The following is a 27,800-nucleotide window of genomic DNA, read 5'->3' on the forward strand; positions in this document are numbered from 1 at the left end:
TTTCTTTTTTTTTTTTTTTTAATGAAACCAGAAAAAAGAGAAGGTTAATCATGCTTGTAGCCGTGTTGATTCACCATACTCAACTGTTCTTGCTTAGGTTTGTAGATAGTGTTATCATTTGAGAAGTGCTACTTTAATAGATCAGCAAAGACTGAATTCATTCATATTCTGAACCAGATAATTAGATACCATGTTAGTCAAGAGGTTAGCTGAGAAGTCAAGGCTAGAAAATATTAGAAATCAATTGAAAATTATGTACTCTAGGGGCATTTAGAAATAACGTAAGATGAAAGACCTCTTCAAAAAGAAGTTAGAAAAGTGTATTTGAGTGATGCCTCCTCCCCCTCCCTCCCAACATGGTCCCCGCTGTTCTGCTCAGTACCAGAATACAAAAACATATTTCACGGGGACACCCAAAGCCCAGTAGACCTATGGGTTTCCTCTTTGGGTCTGGCCCATGGATGCCACCATTCTGCCCTTAGTCTATACTCTGCTGATTTAAAGTAAGGACCAGCTAACAAAATAATTCAGGCTGGGTGCAGTGGCTCATGCCTGTAATCCCAGCACTTTGGGAGGCCGAGGCAGGCGGATCACAAGGTCAGGAGACGGAGACCATCCTGGCTAACACGGTGAAACCCCGTCTCTACTAAAAATACAAAACATTAGCCGGGCGTGGTGGCGGGCACCTGTAGTCCCAGCTACTCGGGAGGCTGAGGCAGGAGAATGGCGTGAACCCGGGAGGCGGAGCTTGCAGTGATCTGAGACGGCTCCACTGCACTCCTGCCTGGGCGACTGAGCAAGACTCCATTTCAAAAAATAATAATAATTAATATAGAAAGTTGAGCACCCAAAAAGTGGCTCAGATTTACTTTCTAGGACCCACTGCGGTGCCTTCTGATACGCATATTCTACAGTCCTAGGCCAAAGATGGAGAATAAGCCTGGAGGCCTGAATTTTTGGAAGGTGTATGTATTATTACTTAGGCGCTTCAGGTTTTTAGTCAGGGGGAGGAATAGTCAGCTATATTTATATTCTAAGAGGTCAATGATGGAATAAAGCAAAAAGAAAGTGGTAAGAACATCCAGTTTTTAAATTGTAAACATTAAAGGGAAAAGCCCACCTGGAGGCAGAATACTAGAAATTTGAGTGTGTTTCACTGGGGCATGTATTTAATTACTCAGCTTTATTCAGTGTACTGTGGGAGAGTTATTTCATATTAGGAGTTATAGTGGATAATATATGAAGTACTCAGTCTCCCCTGCTTTGGGGATTAGGACATTATAAGGGGAATTAAGATGCAATGCACTCAAGTATCTAAAACACAATTTTAGACTTAAAAGTAGTTTTAAATGAGGGCACTTGGCTTGCAATCACTGTTTAAGTGGATTTAGTTCAATATCAATTAGTCTGAAAAACTTTGCTGCATCATTGAAGGGAGCAAAATGAAATAAAGACCAACAGAAAAAGGACGTGCTCTGAACACGGGATTGCGAAATGTGAATTTCAGTCATTACCAAAAATAACTAACACAAATACTTTATTAAGACGAGCTTCAATTATTGTTGTAATTTTGACATAATAAACCACCACGAAGGTGGGGCATTATTTAAAATATTTGTATGGTGGCTTGATAAATGGAAACAAACCAATAGGACCTCAAAAAGATTAAATTTTTAGAAGGAGGGAAAGTTGTGTTTGCATTGTCTTCAGATTCTCTGTATTTTTTTCCTCAATTGTGTCCTTTTATAGGCTGTTGATTCAGGAAAATTCATAGTCTTCATTCAGAATCATTCTTTTACCATCATAGAGTGGACTCCTACGTGAAGGGCTTGGCTTGAGTATCCTCCAAAGAGCTTGTTCATTTAATAGCAGATACCATTCAGAAGTGGCCATAAAAACTCAGACTTCATATGTTAATACGGAAGTGCTTTGAGTACCTGAGACTTAAACAAGAGCAACTGAAAGCTCGATAGTGATATTCCAGACTCGGGTTATTTCTGTGCAACTAGAATCCATCTTCTAGACAAATTGGCAGCTCCATTTAAAGTATACATCGAGTCGTTTTATTTTACCCTTTCACAAATATTTGTCATTATTTTAGATGAGAGAATTAAATTGTCCTCTGGAACTGCCACTTCTGCAACAACCTAATGAAGCAAGGATTGTGAATATACTCTCATTTCCTCAAACTATTAAAAGTCTGAAAGTACTAATTGAGTTTTAATGGTATAAAATCCTGGCACTCATGAAGACTTCTTTTTCTTCCCCCTTTTTTTTTCTTTTTTCTGTCTTTTTCCCCCTCTAATTAACTTGTAATTTTCTGGGCATCTTATTTGGCTCAGGATCCCTCCTGTTTTTGAAATGCATTAAAATCTCCAATCATTTAGGACTTCTATCTGATTTAACAATTAATAATTAGAAAAGCTCCCTTTCTAATGATGCCCTCACCCGGGATGTCATTTGCTGGCTGATTGATCCTGAACTACTTTTAACTTTTTAAGTTACACATTCGTGGCACGTCTGTGTGATCATTCCATCATGGCTTCTTGACTAATGGCATCAAACTGAGATTACGTGGCTTGCTCATGTCGATGTCTTTCTATGGGACGGGAATTTGAATATGTCACTTGCCTCCTACTAAAATCTTTTTTCCCCCTCTCCGTCTTTGGCCACAGCTCTTCCATTCCTATCCTCCTGCAGTGTCGGGCATCCCCCCTATGATCCCACCCACTGGCCCTTTTGGTTCACTACAAGGAGCATTTCAGCCGAAGGTAAGAAACCTCACAGTGAAAACACACAGGCATGTGTCTAAGTGGCGTCCCGGGCCAGGCGTGCAGGAAGTTCTGCGTCCTCTTGCCTGTGCAGTGACTCATTAATCAGGTCCTAAGTGACCACTGGGATTAGAGTGAGCCTATTTTTCTTTTTTTTCCAAGTCCATCTAGTTTTAAATGGCCGTGAAAATTTACTTTTCAAACTGTACTACCCAGATAATCTCAGTTAAGCTAAGATTTCTTGTGCTCTTCAAAATATACACAATATTTATTTTTTTACTACCAATATCGTGGACATAACTTCTGGTCAGGAATTCTATGAAATATCAGACACATGTGCGCCAGGTTGTTCCGCAGGTGTATGTAATTAGTAAAGACACAAAGCTGGGTCCTTACTGATTTTAGTAGAAGTGGGGATAAAGGTTCCACAACTAAAATTGTATCCTATGAATTCTCATTCTCCCTCATTTCCCTCGCCAACCCCATCGGCTGCAAACAGGGCCTGCCGGCAGGTGGGGTGGTCGCCTCCCATTTTGGTCCTCCTTTCTTTCTCCCTCTCTCTCAGCCATCCCACCCCTGCCATGGTTACACTGGCCAAGGCCAAGACTTTGTCATCAGTTACTAACATCCTAGTGTGAAATTAACCTTTCATCCTTTATAAAAATCAAATTCTGTTCTACCTAGTCAGTGATAATGCCGTCCAGCGTTGGCTACAGCTGTCTCTAAAGGTCAATATTGAAGAGTCATTCTCGAAACACTCTCTTTTTAAATATACTTACAATTTCTATTTTACCTTCACACAAAAATAAAAAGAGCCGTACTTTCATGTGGGTAACCATTCTCAGACTTGAAGATATTCTGCTGTGTGCCATTGGGTTTTCGTTTTTCTTTTCCCCACCATCTCATGGCTAAGGTAAAACACAGTTTTGGTCCAGAGTCTTCCAGGATAAGCACATAACTGCATTTCCAAAGACGTGTTTCATTAAAAGAATTAAAAGGCATTAGAGGTGGGGTCCCCTCCCCCTTCAAAATCACCTGCATTGAATTGCATTGAATTCAGTTCATCTATTGAATTTGCCTGCATTGAATTGCAGCCTATATGCAAGGTTACAGATATACAGGGCTTTTATGACTGCCTCGTTAAACACCTCCTGTCTGGAGATAAAATGATGGTGATTTTAAACTCCTTCCCCCAGTCTGCACCTCACTACTCCCTCAGACCCTGGTCTGTCCCCTCTAGGTTACACCAAATCTCTGGGGCCTCCCCAAACAGACTGGTAGGTCATTTAATAAATTAGACTATTTCCCTCGCTCACAATTATCCAATCACACAGAAAACTACATCTGGGCAAGAAAGTGTCTCTCCTGGTGTTGAAATAGGCCTTTCCAGGCCATCGTCCTGATTGAATATGTAGATTGCAGTTCATTAGTGGAGTTCTTCATATGTATGCAAATCAGGTTGTTAACAACTCCAGCTTAATTGTTAGTTGTACTGCAGCTGATTGCTTTTCTTTCTTTCATTCTTTTCCCCCCCTTCTCCTTGTAGGCAAGCTTCGGGCCTAAACTTGAGCTCCTTTTCCCCACGAGTTTAACTTCCTGGTGTGGGGGGTGTTCATAGAAGTTGTGATTTCTTCCATAAAATAGCTGGTGTCGTGTCCTGAATCCTTTCCCACTAGAAATAGTGATTGTGCCCAAAGTAGGCTTTTTATTGTTGCTAATTCAAAGGACAGAAGCTCACAGATAAGGTTAATATTAGCAATATTTGAGAATGGTGGTGGGAATAGGTAAGAGCAAGCAGAATTGCTTTAGAAATCATCAAAGAGCAGATCCGCAAGGTCCCTAAATTAGGTTCTCTTGTCCCATTTCCACCACTGCTAATGAGTAATTACTGAGTATAATTCCTTATTATTGTCTACCAGTTAAAACGGAGAGCTTAATGTCTGTAAAGTACTTCCAGTTATTCTGATGAGAAACACCTGATACTGCCAATTATAATAATGTTCACTTAAGCGTTTCTTGGAATGTTTGGTGATTAAGCAAAAAAACAGTGGCAGTCCCTGCCATGGGTTCATTCAGAGGAAGAGGAGTTCCAGGACAGCATTTACGTTTGTTGCTTCTCTTTTTTGGTCCTGTGCTTTTTATTGCAGTGAAATGTTCTGGGGACCTCTCTCTGCTTTTACATGCCATTGCTGGAGAGAGCAAGCTGTGGTCAGGCCCCCTTGAGAAAGAGCATGTGTGGTCCCTGAGAAAAATGAATCTTGCGTTTCAGAAGGAAACAAACAAATGAAGTTTGGCTTCTCTCATTTAGCAGAAGGGAAGGATCTTGCTTTCATGTCACCTGTTTTGTGCTTCCTAAGTAAGCTGTGGTCTAATTAATTTGTAGACATCCAACCCTATCGATGTCGCTGCTCGGCCTGGGACAGTCCCACACACTTTACTCCAAAAGGACCCGAGGGTACGTGCAAAGTCAGGCTTGGTCTCAGGTAACACCAGGGTGTGTGTGTTTGCACGGGACGGCCAGCCCAGTGCTCGCATCTTCCTTAGCTCCTTTGAGCGAGCTGCTGTTTCAGCTGTTCTTCTAGTTTGTGGAAGAAAATGCCAATTACTCTTAGAAAACACAGTCTCTCCTGCTCACTGCGAGCATAGGACACAAAGAGACCGACTTGCCGATGGGAGAAAAGAGGAATGAGTTACGGTCTGAGCCCAGAAATTGGACAGTGTCAGCTTGTATAGTTTTTACTTAACCAATCTTCTCTGTCTGTATCTCCTTAAATTGTCTTACACAAATGAAGTAGCTACAGAATGTTTTGAATGGAAAAGCACTAAGGCGCTTTTCTTCCTGGAAGTCAGGCTACACACATCCCCCCGCTTGCCTGGGGTCAGGAAGTTATTGTACTGCACGGCTCTTTGGCCCTCTATTTTTAATGTGCTAGGGATCCTTTTGTACTCTAGAGCTAAATAAAATATCCATTATGCTTTGGTTATGTTGTTTATTCATAATTTATTACCACTGCCTGCTTCCAAAAAAGGAATCTGAAGTTATACGATAGATACAATCTTGCCTCATTGTTATTTGTAGTCATCTTTATACGAAATATGAAAAAATCTTTAACAATATTGTCTTTTTACCTACATAAGGGCAGTCAGAAATTGATAACCAGAGTTAGATAGAAGTTTAAAATGACTCAACTATGTAAGTATGTCATGATGTATAGTGAACTTCTGGAAAATGTCTAATAGCTATAAATAATGTAAAGTCATCAATGTAAGGGTATTGGTAAAGAGAGCCTAATTCTCCTGGATGGATGGAAAGGACACCTCTCCCCAGATACCAGTTAGTAGACAGCTTTAAAAGCCAGGGGTCTGAAGGCCATTCTCCCTCAGACCTACCCGGTGTGGTTTGGAGCTCAAAACAGTGAAACTCCTGGTGTGTGATGTGAGCAAATCATGTTGCCAGAGGGCACATTGCTATTGATTAAACTTGTACAGGGGCTTGTCAGCGTAGATGTACCAAGGCTTGTGAAGTGGGGGAGGGGACACTTGGCACTTTTGATAGTGTGAAAATGGGTTAATTATTCTCTAAAAGGGCTTCATTTAAAAGTAAAATTCTAACATTTTAATTTCCCCTCCTAATGAAGCACTACAAATTTGTTAATTAGAGCAATTGTTTGAGTGACAGGCATGTAACCAAGTTGTCATTTTCTCTTCACAGTTGACAGATCCTTTCAGACCTATGTTAAGGGTAAGAAAGCTTCTTATAGAACTGTTTTGCAACCTCTATTTGACTCCCTGTGGGTTAAAAATACAAGTCTATTACAAGGAAATAAGCCATAGAAATGTTGGAATAAGACATTGGAATGACGGTGATTGGGTTTTTCAGATAGTGTGATTGAAAATGGCCTAAACTGTTTTGCTTTGACCGTTGGAGGCCATTGGCTTTTTTTTTTTATCTCTACAACAGAGAAAAGTCAACGAGTCCGATCTCTTGTTAGCAGTTCTGGTAAAAGGTTTGACTAGTTGGAACTTAAGGGGAAAGACTGAAGCTATAGGCTGAAGTTAGTCTCTCTTGCACTTAGAAAATATGTAGCTGGGTCCATTTATTTTGGCTGGTGGCTCCCTCTTTCTGTAGTAAGTGACATTGACTTGCCATAGCCGTTTGACCTCCTTTTAAGGTGCAGGAAGGAGGTACTATAAGCATCTGGTTTGTTAACATCTTGCTTAAAGCAAATTGTTCTCGAGGTCTGGAGACTGGCCAGTGTGATGACCTCTAAATGAATCCTGGTGGTTGGGGGTAAGACAGACATGATGAATTGTTGGACAGAAGATGGATGGACAGCAGATTTCTTGCTATGCATAACTCATTTCTAGGGCACATAATCAGATAATTTGATTTCTCCAGGGGAAAAAGGAGAATTGTGTCATCACTTAGGTGAGGCAGTATATTATTTGTGATTTCAAACTACCCATAATTTCATTGCAAGAGAAGAGAACTGACCCAGACTTGCATTTAAGTATATATTTTCGGAACTAACTCCATACTGTAGAAACCAGAAGCTTCTGTTCTTCGCCGATGTAGAATGAGGCTGTGTTTTCTTCTCATCTGTCCAGTAGTCACTGAGCGCGCACGCCGAGCTTATGGGTAGATTACTTAGCAGAAATGAAGTGAAAAGGTGGTCCCTGCCCGCTGACTGGTAGAAGAGAATACACTCACAGCACTCCACTCCTTATAAAGCAAGACATGAAATAATTGGGGAGATGTGGATTCAAATTCAACCCCAGAGGGTGGAGGATGGACTTGAGATCTGCAGAGGCCTAGATAGAGAACAGGAAGGAAGGAATATTCTTCTCTTTGTTTCTTTCTTTAAACTTAGGAACAGCGCCCACCAACACGAATGGGTAGTTGACTCTTAGCATTTACGGTAACTGGGCTTCAATCAAAATGTGAATTTCTTTGTACCACTTTGGGGGTTAAAATAAAAACCACCACGGTCTTGGGGGAGGTTAGGACAGGTTCTGTACCCTCTCTTATTTTGATTTGACTCACAGACATTCACTAATGAGCTCTTCTGAACAGCTGATTTGCATTATAGCATGGCAACATTTGTTAAGTAGGGCTTCCCACTCTACCAGGTCTGCCAGCTGGCAGCAGAAAAGAAAGAGAAGAGGCACAGAGTGGGATTCAGGCTTTTGCCGTCTTGTCCTTGGTAACCGGGGAGGCCCTTGTCAATGTGGTTTTCTGAGTAGCAAACCCACGTGGGGAGAGAGGGGGAGCTGGCTGTGACTCCCTTATGACTGGGCGCTGGAGAGCTACTGATGGAAGGCACTTGGAGAGTACAAAGCACTCTTGTTTCACGAAAAAAGCCTCTGCAGCCAAAATCTGCTGAAAGCTTTGGGGAAATTGAAGGTGGTTTTCTCTGAAATGTCTTCCTCCTAACCACGTTGCTCTTTCTTGTTCCAGAAACCAGGGAAGTGGTGTGCTATGCATGTTCACATCGCCTGGCAGATTTACCACCACCAACAGAAAGTCAAGGTCAGTCCGACCTTCGTGGTGTAGGGAAGAATGGGATGCACATGTGAGTGTGTGACGTGCTCGGGAGAACCTGATGAAGGAGGCATTTAAAACACATTTTACAGACCCATAGTTAGGAAGGATCAAGCCTCTCTTGGAAAAGCTACTCAGAAGTCTTACTTATTTTTTCCTAGAGTCAGGGTCTCACTCTGTTGCCCAGGCTGGAGTACAAGGGGACAATCATAGCTCACCACAGCCTTGAATTCCTGGGCTCATGTGATCCTCCCACCTCAGTCTCCCAAGCAGCTGGGACTTTAGGCATATACCACCATACTTGGCTAATTTCTTGATTGTTGTTTTTGTAGAGATAGATAGGGGTCTCACTGTGTTGCCCAGGCTGGTCTCAGACTCCTGGCCCCAAGCAGTTCTCCCACCTGAGCCTCCCAAGTAGCTGGGATTACAGTGCAAGTCACAGCAGCCAGCTCAGAAATCTTACTGTTAATTAGGGAAACCACTAGTGAAATTACAAAACAAAAGCAAACTGATAATGCCCCAGGGTTTTGTTCCCTTTATAATTTTGTCATTTTATTGATCCAAAGGTCTTGAATATGGATTAAATGCTAAAATAAAGCTTTTGGAAATAAAATTATAGTGACCAAGAATTAGAATACAGAAAATACTCTGCATCTGGGAAGAGCTACAAATGAATGTTGGGTTTGGGTTTTTGTAAAAATAGTGACTGGTGCATTCTTTTCATTTTATGGCTGTGGGAAAATGGTAGAGTCATGTGTGCCCTATATGAAGATGATGCCGCTGAACTGTCATTGGTCCTCCTGATGGTCAGTGCCAGGGATTGGAATACAGTCAGTACTTGCAGGAGCCACGTTCTGGCTAGTTACCTCGCTGTCCAAAGACGATTTTTCCTTTTTGTCTATATTTTCATCATAGGGATGAACATATTCCATGTTCTGCTAGAGCCTTTATGACTCAGTAGGGGAGAGATCAAGAACTTCTGCAAGTCCCTGGATACAGCATCAGCGCTTGGCTTAGGGAACAAAGTAACTGACAAGTCTGTATTTTACAGTCTGGGTATTTATAGGCTATGTTACGATGCCTGCAAAAATGGGAGCAAACAAGCAATCAAGTAACTCCAATAAGCTTCACTTAATCCATTTCTTCATGAACAAGCTTTTAGTCCTAACAGCATTTGGGAGTTCTCATGAAAGAAATACAGGAGACCAATGAGCCAGGAGATAGATAGAGCTCTTCATCACAGAAGAGACATGTTTTTAAAAGGGTTACGTGATTTTTAAAATAAAACAACCCAAGTTCCAGTCACTCTAGAGGCTGAGGCAGGAGAACCCCTTGAGCCTGGGAGTTTGAGTCCAGCCTGGGCAACATAGCAAGATCTCATCTCTAAAAAAAAAAAAAGAGTAAAAAATAAAAACCCGGTTAAAAGTTTTAAGATGCAAACCTCAGTAAATGAGGTCACTAAGATATTTTGCTTTGGTTGTCAGATACCTGCTCTTTCTTATAACATGCCATCAGTGAGTTTGGCTCATTTGTACTTTATTGTTAGGGGAAGTTTAATTGGAAGCCTTGTGGTCTATCTTAGAAAATGTGTGTGCTTTGAAGAGCTAACTAGATTTTGATGATTAGTTCAATTCAGTTTTTGTTCTGGTTGATGTGGTTAGTGGAACGGTAGGTAAAGCACATCTTCCTTGTAACTTCTTTGGTTAAAAGAGATGAGGGATGTTGCACGTGCCACTTTAGCAACTTCTTTCCCATAAAAGTGTCCCCAGTGACTTAAACTTTCATTATCCCAATTCAATTAGAAAGACCTCTTGAACATGAGATAACTTCGTTCATCTTCCCTTTTCAGCAAACTGCTTGTAATCCCCAAGCTCCATTTTGCTTCATGGCCCTAAGTTGTGGTTAATGGAACTGTGCTATGTACCATGCAATATTAGCACTAAATAATTTGGCCACCAAATTAAAGGAGGTATTCAAAAGAATTTTATAGATTCATAGTGAATTAGAAGCTTGGTTTTGAGGCTTGGCTATTACTCGATACTGGGACTTTCATTATAGCATTCCCTGTAGATTTGAGCAGAAATTACATCTTCCCTCTCTCTGTAACGTTCATTTACGCATTCTTTTAGTCGTTCACCCAGTGTTTATTGAAAGAGCCTACGCCTGCAGGTTCCTTACTGTGGCGGGCTGGGGGCATGCATCCTTCCTGGCGTCTAGTTGCTTAGAGTTCAGTAATGAGGATCAGTTGTGTGTAAAAAGTGAGGAAAGTGTGTGTGCCCTCTTAATGGGTGGTGTCATTTCCAGCTGGAGGTGCACGGGTAGCTTTTGCTTTCAGTAGGGGTGATGGGTGAGTGGGACGTTGCCGTCAGCAGTAAGAGAACAGCAGACTTCCCTGTCTCAGATCCTCACGCCATGCTCTGTCAATATAGATGCCCCCTCATGGGGCTTTGCTGTTGTACAGCAGGGCAAGGATCCCTCAGGACATGAGGGAGATTGAGCTGAGGCTAGAATGGGGCTAAAGGGGCTGAGAGCATCAGATGAGTCCGGGAGATCAGAAGAGTAGCCAGGCACGATGGCTCACTCCTCTAATCCAAGCACTTTGGGAAGCCAAGGCAAGCACTTTGGGATCGCTTGAGCCCAGGAGTTCAAGACCAGCCTGGGCAACATAGAGAGAGAGACCTGTCTCTACCAAAATGAAAAAACATTAGCTGGGCATGGTGACATGGATCTGTAGTCCCAGCTACTCAGGAGACTAAGGCAAGAGGATGCAGTGAACTATGATTGTGCCACTGCATTTCAGTCTGGGCAAAAGAGCGAGACCCTATCTATCTCATCTCTTTAAAAAAAAAAAAAAAGAGTGAAAGTCAGAAGCAGGTACTAAGGGCAGTGAAAACCCAGGAGACTGATGGGGAAGAGGTCATAGCAAGGGAAATTCAACTAGAAGCTTCAAGTCCCAGGACCCCATGCCTTGGGAGCAGTGCTTATCCAAGGCAGTGTGAAGCCAGTTCAAAGAGAAAGCTGTCAAGAAACAAGGAGGTGGGGCAGCTTTGAAACCATGCTGGTGCAAGGGCCTCCAGCCTAGAGAAGGATGCCAGGGGAAAAGATTGAGAGGAAGATTAAGACCCAATTTCTACTGCCTAAGAGGATGGTAGGCGGAAAGATTAGCCTGAGGATAGATAAATAAGACAAAACAGAGTGATTTCTGTCCATGATAAGGACTTCACACAAGAGTTTGTTTTTTTTTTTTGGAGACAGCCTCGGTCACAGCAACCTCCGCCTCCTAGGTTCAAGCAATTCTCGTGCCTCAGCCTCCCCAGTAGCTGGGACGACAGGCGTGCACCACCACGCCTGGCTGATCTTTTGTATTTTAGTAGAGACAGGGTTTCACCATGTTGCCCAGGCTGCCCTTCAACTCCTGAGCTCAGGCAGTCCGCCCGCCTTGGCCTCCCAAAGCGCTGGGATTATGGTTTACTTGTCTGGATGGACACTGCCCTCCCCCAACCTTCCTCAGGTAATTACAGGTAGTAGGAAGAGAAAGGGCCTCTGTTAGTTAAATTAATACTCCTACTTTGTTTTTCTTTGTTATTGTTATATAACAGTGATCATTTGAAAGTTAGCTTATAGACATGCAAATATTTCTTCATAACTTTTGGTTACTAATGTACTGTGAGCTATTAGAGTATGGCAAAGAGTCATTAAACAAACAATTAATTTATACAGCAGATTGTTCATGCAGAATTCCTAATAAAATGAGCTTTAAGACACTATTATTTTAAACCTTACTAAAATGGGCCTTTACAGCAAAACACTGAACTACTTTGGGAGTGGTGGCAGTCTCCATAAATAGGATATGGTTTTATTTCTCAAGCCATTAACCTTGAAGACCAAACATAGCTGGGTGCGGTGGCTCACACCTGTAATCCTAGCACTTTGGGAGACCGAGATGGGCGGATCACTTGAGGTCAGGAGTTTGAGACCAGCCTGGCCAACATGGTGAAACCCCATATCGACAAAAAATACAAAAATTAACTGAGCATTCTGGGAGGCACCTGTAATCCCAGCTACTTGGGAGGCTGAGGCAGGAGAAGCATTTGAACCCAGGAGGTGGAGGTTGTAGTGAGCCGAGATCCCACCACTGCACTCCAGCCTGGAAAGCAGAGTGAGGGAGACTCCGTCACAAAAAAAAAAAAAAAAAAAACCAGACCAAACACTAGTGTTGTCACTAGACATTTCTGGTGTAACAGGCACTACCGGCCTGCAGATCTGACATTTGAGGGTGAAATGGTTTTTGTGTAGCTGCTTTCTCTCACAGTGTTTGTAAACTTGAACCCAAGTGCACCGTTCACAGTCTCCAGCTCCAGCTCTTCACTAACACCTTTATTCCTTGCTGTTGGCCTTGGGACCCTTACTGTTCCCCTTGCTGTGTAGAAACAGATGCAGTCAGACCCACATAAGCTGGACTTTGGACTGAAACCTGAGTTCCTGAGCCGCCCTCCAGGCCCCAGTCTTTTTGGAGCCATCCACCACCCCCATGACCTGGCACGGCCTTCAACTTTGTTCTCTGCCGCTGGTGAGTGTGGGTTTGGGTGGGGGGACAGAGCTGAGAAATGTAGTTCTCAGGTAACTAAATAAATGAGGTTTGGGCTCTGAGCTGCCGCTCAGTCACCACCTACAAAAATACAGTTAATGCCAGCTTGCAAGGCAACATCGCAGCACATCCAGGGAGTTGGGAATCTTCATTGATACACTCTCTTTCATTAAAGGAGGAGGCAGAGATCATCTTTCCCTTACAGGGATTCACATTGCTTCGGTTCATTATTTGCTTCTATATTAAACCAGTATAACTCACAAGCATGTCAGTTGCTATTGAGAAAGATCTGAAGGCTTGCAAGGGCAGATCGGAAGGAAACAATGCCAGGAATTATAGAAGGATGCGGTCGCCCTTAATACGGTGCCCGCAGAGCACTGTAATTTTGCACCGGGATGCTCAGTCATGCCGTGTTTTAAAGTCCTGAGGATAAAGAAAGGCGATTAAGGCAGTTGCCAGGAGTATGGTCTGTGATAGGGAGGTTGGGCCACTCGGTTGCTGGTTTTCTCTGCTACAAAACGTAATACTATTGCCTGGTTGGTTATAGCGGTGGAAGAAATTTAGGAAACGGTGTAAACACCCAAGTGACCTGCTCATCGGATCTGTAATTCATTTAACCTCTGAGAATACACACTGTCAAGTGTGCGTGTGGAAGGGGTGAGGTAGAGAGTGACGATTATGCTCATTCCTGCTCCAGGTACAAACAAAAGACAGCGGCTGTAAGGACTGTGTGTGTGCTGGATGAGAACAGCCCTCTTGGTATTAAGGGTTTCTTGTCATTCTGTCTTCTCTAAAGCTTTTTTAAGTGTAATTTCTGGCACACAGAGCTCAGCTCAGTTAACACTTAAAAATGATGGCACTGAGCTCATTCTGCTAATAACTTCATACCCACTATGCTAAGTAGAATTTATTCTTCTGGACGTAAGCAGTCAAGGGGCTCCCCATTTCTGATCCTTACGAGACAAGTCTTACAGCCATCCTGCCAGCTGCCACCCCAGGCTTTTATCCAAGACTCACTGTTGGTGGACCTCTGGCTCTTCTGTTCAGGAAGAGAGAAGCACCCACACTGCAAGAAATCATCATTATAATGGGCCTTAGCTACCAAAGCAAGTGCGTCCCCCTGGAGGGTAGATGGAATTTGCTAAGGTCTCAGGTTTTTCTCTGTCAGTGCTGTCTGGGGACATATTTGAAGGCTCTGTTACCATGGCACCTAGGCTCTGAGACAGGGCTACATGAAGAGCAATTTTTGGAAAGAATAGATTTCTCTCTGGCTTCCATTTGAGCCAAGTGGATGAATTGGCTTCTTTTGCTTCAATAATTCTGGAACTGCAAGGCACCCCTGGGGGCCCTGGGCTCAGCAAAGCTCTGGTCTTCATTGAAGCATTAATTAGCTTGCACTACACAGACAGTATGTGGCCAAAATTTTATTTAGCTGACAACACTGCTAACGGCCTGATGAATATTCTGGAATATATTCACTTGGTGGAGGCGGGGTATCATTTTTACACTTCCCAGGTGGAAAATAAGCCAGTATGCAGGGCTGAATAGATAACTCCTCAGGTGTCTTCCAATTCCGAACTACTGTGACGGGGATGATGTTCCTCCTGTACTGAGTGGCTTCCTCTCCAAACCCAGGCCACAAGACTTTTGCAGCCCAGGGAACAGCAGTCCAAAACATAAATCGAGTTAACAGAGTGTAGACAGCAACAACCCCTACGTTTAATCCATTTTCCTAAGGGAATTTATATTTGTTTATAGGAACTTAGACAAAATGCAAAGGATTATGGAACAGTTTTTAGTAAATTCTTTATCCAGGCCTTGTTTATACTTCCATTCTAGAATGTAACCTTCTTTAGCATAAGCAGTATGGGATTCTGCCCAAAATAGTTATTTGGTGAACCTTGTAACTGATGTGTATAACTTGTACATACTTAAGAAATCCAGCCATTTTCATCTTGCTATTGGGTGCTAATCCCATGAATATAAACTAGAGACTTCTTCAGATGACCCTGGCAAATCTCTCGTCTAGGACAAAGCCTGCCTTCCAGGAAGCTAGCCTCCTTAGCTAGTAAGTAGCCTCGTATTAACAAGCCCATTTGGTGCCCTAAGGCCTTTAGAAATGTCCTTCCCTAATTCACATTTGCACACTCTCTTTCTCTGTCTCCTTCCTTCCTTCCTTTCCTGGCTTCCTTCAGGAACAGGAATAGAGGCATCTTCAAGAAGTACACATTAGGCAAAATACAGAGAAGAGGAGGAAATGTGGATCAAGGGACAACTGAAGGAAACCACTAAATTAGACCTGAGTTCCCTGGCAGGCAAAGCAAAAACCTGTCAGAGTCAGTTATAAGATTTTCAGTGCCCCAAAACATAAGAATCAACCAGCTTTTCCTGGCATTGAAAGTTGAGAGACATCAGAGGACTTCATCTCCTAAAACCTAATTGAGCTCACAATAATGAGTTTTATAGAGTCGGGTCTTATAGTATCCTTCGATGTGGGTGCATGCGAACTAACATACTCTTCAGGAGAAGGGATTCTGCAAGTCCCCAGAGCAGCGTAGCCAAGAACCACAGCTTCAGGACCACCCCTCCTGAGCCAGAGATGATAACGGGCTGGGTTTCTGGAAGTGTTTCTCAAAGTGAAAACTTGGTCCTCCGAGATGCTCTATGAGGAGTGGATTCCATGATGAAATGTTCCCCTCTTAGAGAACGAAGGAGCCTATAAGCTTATTAATAAGCTTATTAATGGCTCTAAGAAGCCCTTCAGTAAAGAAACTTGCTTAGCTTTTTTTAATCCAGTATTTCTCCAAATTTACTTGGTTATAAAGCCTCCCCTCCTCCCATGACCCAGGGCAGTTATCTCTGTCTTTGTAATACTGTGTGTCATCGGCTTAAAAAAGAAATACCTGTTTTTGGTGGTGGCCAGCCACGCTGGGAAAGAGAAAGAGGGATGATTGATTTTCTGCTTCCTAAAAAAAAAAAAAAAAAAAAAAAAAAAAAAACACACATTTTCTTTTACCCTGTGTCTTGCCTGCAGGGGCCTGGGTGGACTTCAGCCATGACCTCCCTTGAACATATTTTCTCACGGGGCCCTTAAGCAAGTAGAAGCCGGTTGCATCTTCGAAGTTGGCTTTTTGTAAACTCTGGTTTCGTTATGTTTGACTTAACAGGTGCTGCACACCCAACTGGGACCCCTTTTGGGCCACCTCCTCATCACAGCAACTTCCTCAACCCTGCTGCCCACCTAGGTGAGTCGCCCAAAATAATGGGAACTGAGATGTGTGCTTCAGGCAACCCTGCTGTGTTTACCATGCTCCCGCTGCACCTCCGGGCAAGCTGGTGGGAGTCCCAGATACCCTGCTTACCATTTAGGCAGGAGATGGTGCTCTCTTAGGAGTTTCAGTACATCCCGTCCAGCTTCCAGATTTCATCTCTTACACCGCATTCTTTCGGTAGTAGAGCTGTGCTCGGCAGTGGTTCTGCCTGAACTTCCCATGGTGCAGTGGGTGAGAGCCATTCCTTGGTATCTCAGGGAATCCGAGTTTACAACAGCCTGTTCCTGCCCATTGGAAGAAGATGGTGAGCTCTTGCCCCATAGCAAAGGTCACCTCTAGGAAGCGGAAAGAAACACAAGCTGACGTTATGGAGAGGAGTTATTCTACATCTCACTGCCCCGATAAATGAGTCTCTTCCTAATAAAGGTGCATGCTTTGTGTGGCCTTTGTGTATTCGATCCCATCTGCAAGTGTACAGGCAGATTCAGGCATTGGCTTGCACAACATCAGGGCATATCATAGGCACGCCCTCAGAGTTTCATCATGGATTCAGATGCCACCTCCTTTCTGTTCTGTTAGAATCTGCAGAGTGCATTCCTGGCAGAGGCGAGACTGGGCGGGAAGGCAAGTTAGTACATCCTAGCTTGAGTAGTGTCCCCACTGGGCAAAGGAAGAGTAATACAAAATACACAGTTGTAGAAGAAGAGTCCTCAGAAATATTTTGCTAACCCAGTGCCTAAATCCAAGTGTAATGAAAACCTTTTACACCATCTGGTAGGAAAAGTGGGACAGGCCAGGTGGGGGCGTAGAGAGGGCAGGGATCCCGCATCGCCCTGCTCCCAGGAAGCTCTGGGTTCCTCTCCCAGCAGAGCCCCTGACCATTTCCTTCTTCCCCATCTTGTTTGCAGAGCCTTTTAATCGGCCGTCTACATTCACAGGCCTAGCAGCAGTTGGTGGCAATGCCTTCGGGGGACTTGGAAATCCTTCCGTTAGTGAGTACCTCTAACTTTTAAAAATCTGCCTTGGACTTTTTATCTCCTGTGATCCGCATATGGCTCAAGACCTTTCTAGAGAAAAGGAAACTATGCTCTGGGGGGACCAGTGTAGGTTATATCACTGCAAAAGCAGGCCTTCACAGTGGGGTGAGGTGGAAGTGTGCAGAGCCACCACTGTGAGGGCAGCCCCCTGTGGCTATCCAGTTCTGAGGGGCAGGAACGGCAGTGTAGTTGATGACCACAGAAAGTTTACTCAAGTGCGGAGTTTCATCCACATCCCATCTCTGCTCTCCAAGATTTTGGCTGCAGCTCACATTACAAGTGAAAGCAATAGTTACAGCAATTGTTACATTTCATCTTGCCCGTGGCATTCGTGGAATTGAAAAAAGCACAATGAAAAATAGCAGGAAGACACCACCAGGCTGCGACACCACCAGGCTTGGGATAATCAAGATTTGGCACCATTTTATTCTCCATCATCTAGGAGGACTCTGCAGCTTTCTACTATTAAAAAAGCCCATCTCGATTAGGAGAAGAATTACAACCCCATCTCACGTTCTAAACATTAGTGTTTAGTCGCTGAATATGCAAATTATTTTCTTTCATGCTACATACCATATATTCCGGGTACAGGAAGAGCTAAAACGTGTCTCTGAGCATACCGTCACAGGTCGGTCTTTATTTAAAACACAGGAAGGAGACCTGTGTGTCTGGTGAGGGCAAGGTCCTGTCTGGTCTCTGGTGACACTTGAGAGGGCCACGGTGGGTAGAGGAGACAGTGACTTCTACTGTGAATCAATTTAGAATTGTTAATCCAAATCCCACCATCATAACACACCCTTCTGCATGCCTGGAACTTCTGCATGCACCAGATACGTTGAATTAGGTCATCTCAGTACCCATTTGGTCCCTTTTCCTTTTTAACTTCCCCTGTCCCCACCTTTGCTTTTGGTTTTAAAAAGAAAAAAAAAAGCTGTGAGCTACCTCTCCAGTGTAGGACAAGACTTCCTCTAATGAATTTGTTAATCTCCTTTCCTTTTCCAGCTCCCAATAATATGTATTCATTTTAACTCTGAATGCTGTTAAAAGTTTTTTGGTAAGTACCTTCATTACAGCAGATTATATAATTTCTCTTAAACCTTTTTGTTCTCCACTTCACCATTTCAGCACCCAACTCAATGTTCGGCCACAAGGATGGCCCCAGTGTGCAGAACTTTAGCAACCCTCACGAACCCTGGAACCGGCTGCACCGAACGCCTCCGTCGTTCCCGACCCCTCCGCCCTGGCTGAAGCCAGGGGAGCTGGAGCGCAGCGCGTCCGCTGCAGCTCATGACAGAGATAGAGATGTAGATAAACGAGACTCATCTGTTAGTAAAGATGACAAAGAAAGGTACGGAAAGAAACCGCTCTCGAGTCCCCACGGGGGAGCCTGCTCTATGCCAAGTACCAGTGGAACTGGCCGCCCACCCTCCCTGTCCCAGCCTCGTGCTTTAGCCGCCCCGGTAGCCTCAGCTCCTCCCCACAGCCAGTGCCCGCAGCCCCTCGCAGTCCCCATGGCCCATAGCATATGGTGACCGTAGGAGATAGCAGAGCTAGCGACAGATTCCTGTCTCAGTCGCAGTTATACATCAGCACGTCCCAAGTCCCTGTTAGCGTGTCCAAACAGAAGTCTTTCTCTAGAAGACAGGGAGTTGGAGCTTCGGGCCAGACACACACAGCATGAATCAATTCCATATTTGCTTTCAAGTCCGTGCAGTCCATTTAACCATCCATAGGTTTTTCTCGCTCTTTTCCTCTTTTTGTTTTCTTTTAGAAAGCCATGTTTGCATTGCCTCATCATATTTTTCTCAAATTTTGTTCAAACTCAAAGCCTGGGGCTCACAGATGACTAATAAAATTTTACTCACATAGATGTAGAGAAACGTCGACAAGCAGTTTTGGTTTGGTTTTGGTTTCACTAGTGGATAATTTTGTTAACCGTTGTCTCTGCACTTGGTAACCCATGCCTAAAAAAAAAAGTAGCGTTAAACAGGGAATGTCTTGGAGTTTTTTTTCCAAAGAATATCGTAACGCATTCTTGACAAAAATGTCTTTTTTTTTTTCTTTCTTTAGGCTATTTATTTTCACTTTAAATGAACTGATAAGGAATGCACAAATATGCTTGACAGAAAATACCTAATCCCAATTTCCTTGCAGTATTTAAGATTCAAATTTGATCCGAATCTTTAATGTTTCTTTTCTTTGTATACCGTGTATGTATGTGTGTGTGTATATCCTAGTAATTTCAAAGAAAGAATTCAACTTTGCAGGCTCTAAATGGGGCAGATTAGTAGATACTCATCAGAGGCCATCATGCTGACTGATAAAAGAAAAACAAATTTTCCTTCAAGGCAGTATGATAACAATCTCTTAACCACTGGGAGGAATGTTTATGACATTCATCTCTGAGCTGTGAACTGCCAAAATGAGGCACGCCTAGCAACATAACCTGGCCGACCCTAGGCCGCGAGCTCTCTGTACACAGCCTGTCACTAGGTGCAATGCAGGATGTGGCCACCAGCCCTTTGCGTGTTTTTCTGGATGGCGTCAAAATGGCCTCTTGGATTAAAGTCAGGAAGCTTAATAAATAAAATATACTCTTCTTCCATCCTTCCCTTAAAAGTTATTCTTCTTCTCTGCATGTGGGCAAGAAACAGCCCTTATAGGGGAGCCTCCTGAATACTCTGTGGTCCTCTGATCCTTGCACACCAGCACCAAGCCAGCATGGCAGCCTGCTGCTCTCCTCAACTTTGCCATATCTGTCTTGGCACCATCCGTAAGACCTGCCTGGTCTTAGTTTTAACTCAAGTTTTACCTTATTGTCATTCCATTTGTTTTTGCATTTTCTGCCCAATACTCTTGAGCCCCCATCCAAGACAGGTCTCTAAAATTCTTGTCTCGTGTTTTCACTCACAGCTGCTCTCTAAAATTGTTTTCAATGTCCCCATGAGGTTTCGTGTTTAGGGACCTGCTTTTCCTACTGCCTTCCCTCCGTCTTCTCATCAGACTTTGGCTTTCTTATCCCATCTGGTGCACAAGTGCTCTTTGCAACCCAAAAGTCCTCCAACTGTGGCTTCCTTTTGAGCCTTTCTCACGTGCTGTGTCTTGGAGATGGCTCTGTATCCACGTTCTTTGCTCTGAAACTGGTCACTTGTCCTTGTAAGGAGCAAGAGACTTCTGTGACACTGATGTTGAACCCTTTCTTCCACTGGTTCAGTGTTGCAAAGTTGGAAGAAAAGTGATACTGGGCGTTGGGCTCTTAAAACGTGATTCTTTACACTAGATGATCCCGGGAGTCCAGACAGTCGGGCTGGATTGCCACATCATTGCCTTATTGACCACATGCAGCCATCTTGGCTTTCTGGAAGCTCTTCTTCTGTGCTCTTGGTTGAGGCTCTTAACATGCAGAGAGATTCTTGCTCCCAGCAGACTCCCCCTCACCCTCATCCCTGGTCCATCTCCCCCATTAAGCTTCCTCTAAAATCTAGGTAAGTAGGATAAGGGTGGCTGGCTCTGCCCTGTCCAGGGCACGGCTGCTGCCTTGGCGACCATGGGAAGCAGCCCCCAGCCTGTCCTCTTCACACCACCATTTCACCCGCAGCCCCTGGCCCGGCCGACTCGCCCCTTTCATTTCATCTGCGTCCTTGTCTTCCCCTCTCTCCCCCAGGGAAAGCGTCGAGAAGAGACACTCCAGCCACCCTTCACCAGCACCTGTCCTCCCGGTGAATGCCCTGGGACATACCCGCAGCTCCACTGAACAGATCCGGGCTCATCTGAACACTGAGGCTCGGGAGAAGGACAAACCCAAAGAGAGGGAGAGAGACCACTCGGAATCCCGCAAGGACCTGGCCGCCGACGAGCACAAGGCGAAAGAGGGCCACCTGCCCGAGAAGGACGGGCACGGCCACGAGGGGCGCGCCGCGGGCGAAGAGGCCAAGCAGCTGGCCCGGGTGCCGTCTCCCTACGTGCGGACCCCGGTGGTGGAGAGTGCCAGGCCCAACAGCACCTCGAGCCGGGAGGCCGAGCCGCGCAAGGGTGAGCCGGCCTACGAGAACCCCAAGAAGAGCTCCGAGGTCAAGGTGAAGGAGGAGCGGAAGGAAGACCATGACCTGCCTCCAGAGGCCCCGCAGACCCACCGGGCCTCGGAGCCGCCGCCTCCCAACTCCTCGTCCAGCGTGCACCCGGGGCCCCTGGCCTCGATGCCCATGACGGTGGGGGTGACGGGCATTCACCCCATGAACAGCATCAGCAGCCTGGACAGGACTCGCATGATGACCCCCTTCATGGGCATCAGCCCCCTCCCGGGCGGAGAGCGCTTCCCGTACCCTTCTTTCCACTGGGACCCCATCCGGGACCCCTTGAGGGATCCTTACCGAGAACTTGACATTCACCGGAGAGACCCGCTGGGCAGGGACTTCCTGCTAAGGAACGACCCGCTCCACCGGCTCTCGACTCCCCGGCTGTACGAAGCCGACCGCTCCTTCAGGGACCGGGAGCCTCACGACTACAGCCACCACCACCACCACCACCACCACCCGCTGTCTGTGGACCCTCGGCGGGAGCACGAGCGGGGAGGCCACCTGGACGAGCGGGAGCGCTTGCACATGCTCAGAGAAGACTACGAGCACACGCGGCTCCACTCCGTGCACCCCGCCTCCCTCGACGGACACCTCCCCCACCCCAGCCTCATCACCCCGGGACTCCCCAGCATGCACTATCCCCGCATCAGCCCCACCGCGGGCAACCAGAACGGACTCCTCAACAAGACCCCTCCGACAGCAGCGCTGAGCGCACCTCCCCCGCTCATCTCCACGCTGGGGGGCCGCCCGGTCTCTCCCAGAAGGACGACTCCTCTGTCCGCAGAGATAAGGGAGAGGCCCCCTTCCCACACGCTGAAGGATATCGAGGCCCGATAAGCCGAGAACAGGAGCAAGAACGAGGAAGAAGAAACCCTAGGCAGACACCAGGCCAGGCTTGAGAGACAGAACTCCTGCATGGCTCACACAGACTGGGGGGGAAAGCCCCACCCCTTCCCCTTGTAAAAAATGTATAGACTCAGTGCACATTTTGAAATGTTTTGTATATTATATGTTGAGATTTTTCAGATCTTTTAGCCCAGTCATATGTTCTCACGTCTCCTACTTTTTGTTTCTCGTATAAAACTTTTTGATTTGAACCAAAACAGTGAAGATGACAACACACACCAATTGGATGATAATTGTAGCGGGGGCGGTGGGGGGGAGAAGTCCACGCCATCCATCATGCAAAATTCTTTCAGATGAGGTGGGAAGGCCGTGTACATAGTTATGTAAAAAGAGATTGCTTCATGAGCTAATGGTTCATATATGCAAAAGGGTAAGATGAAAGCTTTACTTTGTACAAATGTAAATAGATAAAGTAACATAATACATTAATACTTCTTAAAATGTGCTATTTGCAAACTTACTTAATATCAGTGAACACAGTCGGCTAAAGCTGTGTTCCCATATATTGTTATAGACAGCTAAACCCTTCAACTATGCAATGAATGTTCGGGCTTTTCACAAAAGCCCGCCTAACTCAAAGGAGCCTTTTCAAATCCATTTACAGCATACTTAAGGTCATATTTTCCCTGAACAAGCGCTTACGTGATATGACTCTGTTTTCCTTGCTTGTTTTTTTTCAAACGGAGAAACATCCTGTTTTGCAAATTGGACCCCAGGCTGGAACTTAGCATCTGAAGTTGCCGCTTGTGGGCTCTGGGGGAAAGTGTAGCCCCGGAGAGGTAACTGAGGACATGAGCAACCAGTGCCAGGGAGGGTGGGATTTGCCAGATGCCAAAATCAGGGGACGGGTGGTGGTGTCTGTCAGACACACACAGGTCGCCAGTGACTTCACACACACCTCATGTGAGAACCATGCCTTTTTTAGTGTGTCCTATTTCATACCTGTACACACTTCCTCGTTTTGTAATGAGATTTACTTACACCCAAACAGATCCTGAAAGAAAGCTTCAAGTTTTCTCAGATGATGGATATGTTTTCACTGTATTCAATAACTGACGGATGTAAGGTGCACGTTTCCTGATGTGACGCACTGTATTCCAGCTGGTGATCAAGTCTGGGAACAGCCGTAACAGGTCAACCTTGTGGAGCCATCGCGAGTTAGAGGGTGAAAGATGGCAGAAAAAAAAGTCTTGTGTGTGAGTGTGTTTTTTGAGTTTGCATCAATCTTAATGTCTCTTCATAATACTTTTATAATACATTAAGCCTCTTGTCTACATATTTGGAGAGAATATGACTTTACTAGCAGAGAAATACAATATATCTTGTCTACTGGACTGTAAAATATATGTATGAAATAAAATTAGTTCCATTTGGTCTTCTAGTATATTAAAGTGCTATCTGACGTTGTTATCCTGTTTTTGCAAAAAAAAAAAAAAAAAAAAGTTAACTACAGACCATTGTTTCTAATAAGCAGAGAGATCTATTTTAGTAGTAAACTGAAGGTTTAGTTGTGAGCTTCAGATTTTGTGAACTCCAGATGTTGTGCGGTGTTTTTTTTTTTTTTTAAGACAACAACTAAAAAAAATGCAAGGAATATGTACACTGGAACTGTAGTGGTAGCTTTCAGTATTGTAAAGAGATTGTTCTATACGGACCTTTTTGCTGTTTATCCTGTATGTAATAAAGTCCTTTCTAGATCCTATGTGAAAAGAAAAGTGAAGCAACTGAATCTTCAGCATGTTCTCATCGGCGGAGCCTTCTTGTGTAATGTAAACTGTGCCATGTTATTAAAAAATGTGAACTAAGCTTCCAGCTGCTTGTTTGTGTGAGGTGACCATCATTACCTTAGGGAAGAAGCCATACCTGTACAAGACCGGGCTCTTGAAAAGAAACACCTCGAACCCAGCCCGTGTAAGAACAGAAGGCTCACCTGCAGTGGCTGACCACCCTACCCAACTCGGTTAGTGTCTCACCAATTTGTTACTATAAACATTTGCACCCCACACAGTCGCTTGTGGTTTGTTTTTTGAGGAGGGGGGGTTCTGTTAGTTTTTCGTATGTCCAAGATACTGTAAAAGGTACTTCTGGATTTTGTAGACGTGTGTACAGTGTGGGCCACGTTAGCCAGTTGTTTGTGCCTGGCTACTTCAAAACTCAGCGAAAGTGTTTGCTTTTCCAGCAGTGATGAGAATTCTGACCTAGGGCCTGTGACAACAGTTTTTGCTTGCTCGTTGTATTGCATTTCAATCTGTGGACTCGGTCAGTCATATGTTACTTAAGACCTTCCAGATTTTTTTTTCCTGTCTTAGCTTTTTCTCTCTTTTAATTACGTGGTGTAGTCCTCATCAGTTTGCAGTCTCCCTGTCCTCTAAAATCTGTTTTGTTTTTTTCCATGATGTTAAAAAAACAAAAAAATGTTAAATTTTCTTATACCGACCTGATGAAATTGCTATTTGGATGAGATTATTTGCATGGGTGTTTGTATGTTACTAGGGAAAAAGTAAAAGCAGTTCAAGTTAGCAAGATCTGGGTAGCTGCTGAATGGGAATCAGAATAGAAATGTTCAGAAATTAGCGGGGGGGCAGATCTGTGGTTGGCGAGTGCTGTGGACTCCCGTGGTTTCACAGGGGCATCTGAGAAGTGCATCCAAGGCACTGGAAAAGTCAGTCCAGGGCGAGAAAAGGGCACTGAGAAGTCGGTCCGGTTGCAGACATCCGCTAATCTGGGCAGAGCAGTGACTTCTTGAATAAAAGCCCATTTCACACAGCCCTGTTTTCCTACGTTAATAACTGACTCCAAACTGGAAAAAATAAGGAAGAAAAACCCAGTGGATTGGAAAACACGATAAACACTGTGTTTTTCCACATCAGGCACTTCTCAGGCCCCTGCAGACAGTAGCAGTGGCGCCTTGCTTTGCTATTTTTCACTGCTCCAATTGTACACCTATTTTGACGTCGCCATCTGCAATGTCAGAACGTAGGAGAGTCAAGCTCTCAAATCAGCCACGGTATCTAATCCCCAGGGCTTCATTCATCTCACCCTTTGCATATTTTCCCCCTAATTACGCTCAGCTCCTCGGCACTGATGGGTACCAGCACCAATTTGATTTCCTGCTAACCTATAGATGCTCTAATTATCTCCCCCATCTTTGACTGACAATGATCTTGTTACCTTCTAATGGTACATGACAGGTAAAATAGCGAATATAATGATGCAATAATTAACCACTTTGGATGGATATTTGCCACGGCATTTGCTGTTTATCCATTTTTCTGCCTCAATCAAGGTAGATGAGGGGAAATAAGACGCAATTGTTGACATTCTTTACATACGTAGCATAAAAGAAGTTGAAGACAGAATTTTGCAGTGCAGGTAGCTGTGCACTTGTGGGGTGCCCAAGGCCTTGTGTGTATTCATGCTGGAAAACAAACTAGGCCTCAGTGGCATCAATCGGTTGAAGGAAAGAGGATAACAAATGTAACCTGGGCTTTTTCATATGTTATTTTTTAAATTCTGCCATCCTTTTTTTCTGTGCATTTCTGATTTTTTTTGTTTGTTTGTTTGTTTGTTTTTTGAGACTGAGTCTTGTTCTGTTCCCTAGGCTGGAGTGCAGTGGCATAATCACAGCTCACTGCAGCCTCCACCTCCCGGGATCAAGTGATTCTCCTGCCTCAGTCTCCTGCATAGCTGGGACTACATACAGGCGCCCACCACGCCCAGCTAATTTTGGTATTTTTAGTAGAGACGGGGTTTCACCATGTTGGCCAGGCTGGTCTCAAACTCCTGATCTCAGGTGATCTGCCCGCCTTGGCCTCCCAAAGTGCTGGGATTACAGGTATGCGCCACGCCTGGCCTGAAAAATTCTTAAACATGCAAAGTCTTCTTGCAATAAAATAGGGTTATTTTCCAGATAGGAAATCATATTATCTAAGGCTGTCAATTCCACAATATGAAATTGCTAGTCTTTGCCACTGTCACAAGTACTAAGCTAAGGTTTTCGTGTCTCACGCCCAAAATGCTACAAGTTCCTAATGATGAGCTTGGTGGGAAGGAGTCCTTGGGCCACAGTCATGGGGGCTGAATCCACCCCGTGTGCCTTCACAGTCGGTGACCCCGTGCACAAAGAGCCTCTTTGGAACTCAGTTTCTTAATGTGCAAAGTGACACAATCTGAACAAAATGAAGCCTAAAAACATGAAGGTCGTAAGCCCAAAATTCATCAGCATGGCGTGGGTGGAATTTTGCTGTGTGCCGTCCCAAGGTTTATAGAAATTGCAGACTGGGTAGAGAATGGCCCACAGCCCACACAAAAAGGAAAATAACTTTTTCTAAAACTTTAGTGGCAGCCAGGCAGGGTGGCTCACACCTGGAATCCCAGCACTTTGGGAGGCCGAGGTGGGTGGATCACTTGAGGTCAGGAGTTCAAGACCAGCCTGGCCAACATGGTGAAACCCTGTTTCTACTAAAAATACAAAAATTAGCTGGGTATGGTGGCAGGCGCCTGTAATCCCAGCTACTCGGGAGGCTGAGGCAGGAGAATTGCTTGAACCTGAGGAGAGGCGCCTGCAGTGAGCCAAGATTGCGCCACTGTACTCCAGCCTGGGCGACAGAGTGAGACCATGTCTCAGAAACAAGCAAGGCCAGGCACTGTGGCTCACACCTGTAATCCCAGCACTTTGGGAGGCCAAGGCGGGCGAATCACGAGGTCAGGAGGTTCAAGACCATCCTGGCCAACATGGTGAGACCCTGTCTCTACTAAAAATACAAAAAACTAGCTGGGCATAGTGGCAGGTGCCTGTAATCCCAACTACTCAGGAGGCTGAGGCAGGAGAATTGCTTGAACCCGGGAGGCAGAGGTTGCAGTGAGCTGAGATCACGTCACTGCACTCCAGCCCAGTGACAGGGTGAGACTCTGTCTAAAACAAACAACAACAACAAAAAACTTCAGTGGCTAAAGATTCTTGCTAAAGATTTGCTGAAATGTTTGGCAAGTCCAAAAGGAATGAGTGGGTGACTACAGGGCTTCTAACTCACAGGTGTTTCTCACCTGGTAAGGGGAGGAGCTGATTAAAACAGCATCTAGTTAAGGCACCCAGGGTATTGTCACAGAATCGCCACCTGCTGTTCTACCCAAAATGTGCCCTGATGCTGACGGACACAAGATGGAGCTTAGCCTCTGGGCCCGTGTTCGGAGAACTCTGTGGCCTGGAAGAACAGAGACCGGACCAGAAGCCTTCAAATCCTAGGCTTGTGTGCTGTGCAGTTATTGGGCAAATAGGCCTTAGTTTCCTCATCTGTAACTTGAATTTGTTGGGTGATGTTGAAAGGCCTCTTCAAGATCTGTTTGGATTTTGGATTTTGCGTCTCTATTCGGCCTCAGATTTTTTTTTTTTTTTTTTTTTTTTTTTTTTTTTTTTTTTTTTTTTTTAGGAGACTGGGTCTCACTCTGTCACCCAGGCTGGAATGCAGTGGGGCATTCATAGCTCACTGCAGCCTCCAACTTCTGGACTCAAGGGGTCCCTCCTCCTCAGCCTCCTGACTGACTGGAACCACAGGTGCACACCCCCACACCTGGCTCATTCTTTTATTTTTTGTAGAGACCGGGTCTC

General features: G+C 44.8%; 1 protein-coding gene across 28 annotated transcripts in view; it reads left to right on the forward strand.

The window, feature by feature from the left end:
- AUTS2 (activator of transcription and developmental regulator AUTS2) overlaps positions 1-24,633 on the forward strand; it is a 1,195,032-nt gene extending 1,170,399 nt beyond the window's left edge. For 17 of the 28 annotated variants that reach the window (XM_011516010.3, NM_015570.4, XM_011516012.3 and 14 more), the window contains 9 exons: positions 2,676-2,771; positions 5,155-5,226; positions 6,484-6,513; positions 8,230-8,301; positions 12,742-12,883; positions 16,069-16,146; positions 17,082-17,165; positions 18,336-18,558; positions 20,875-24,633. In XM_011516010.3, the coding sequence (XP_011514312.1) occupies positions 2,676-2,771; positions 5,155-5,226; positions 6,484-6,513; positions 8,230-8,301; positions 12,742-12,883; positions 16,069-16,146; positions 17,082-17,165; positions 18,336-18,558; positions 20,875-22,123 (2,046 nt within the window). In that variant the 3' untranslated portion in view covers positions 22,124-24,633. The remainder of the gene's footprint in view (positions 1-2,675; positions 2,772-5,154; positions 5,227-6,483; positions 6,514-8,229; positions 8,302-12,741; positions 12,884-16,068; positions 16,147-17,081; positions 17,166-18,335; positions 18,559-20,874) is intronic. The other 11 variants (XM_011516013.3, NM_001127231.3, XM_047420159.1 and 8 more) reach the window with 2 other exon arrangements.

Source organism: Homo sapiens, chromosome 7 (assembly GCF_000001405.40).
Source record: "Homo sapiens chromosome 7, GRCh38.p14 Primary Assembly".
NCBI lineage: Eukaryota > Metazoa > Chordata > Mammalia > Primates > Hominidae > Homo > Homo sapiens.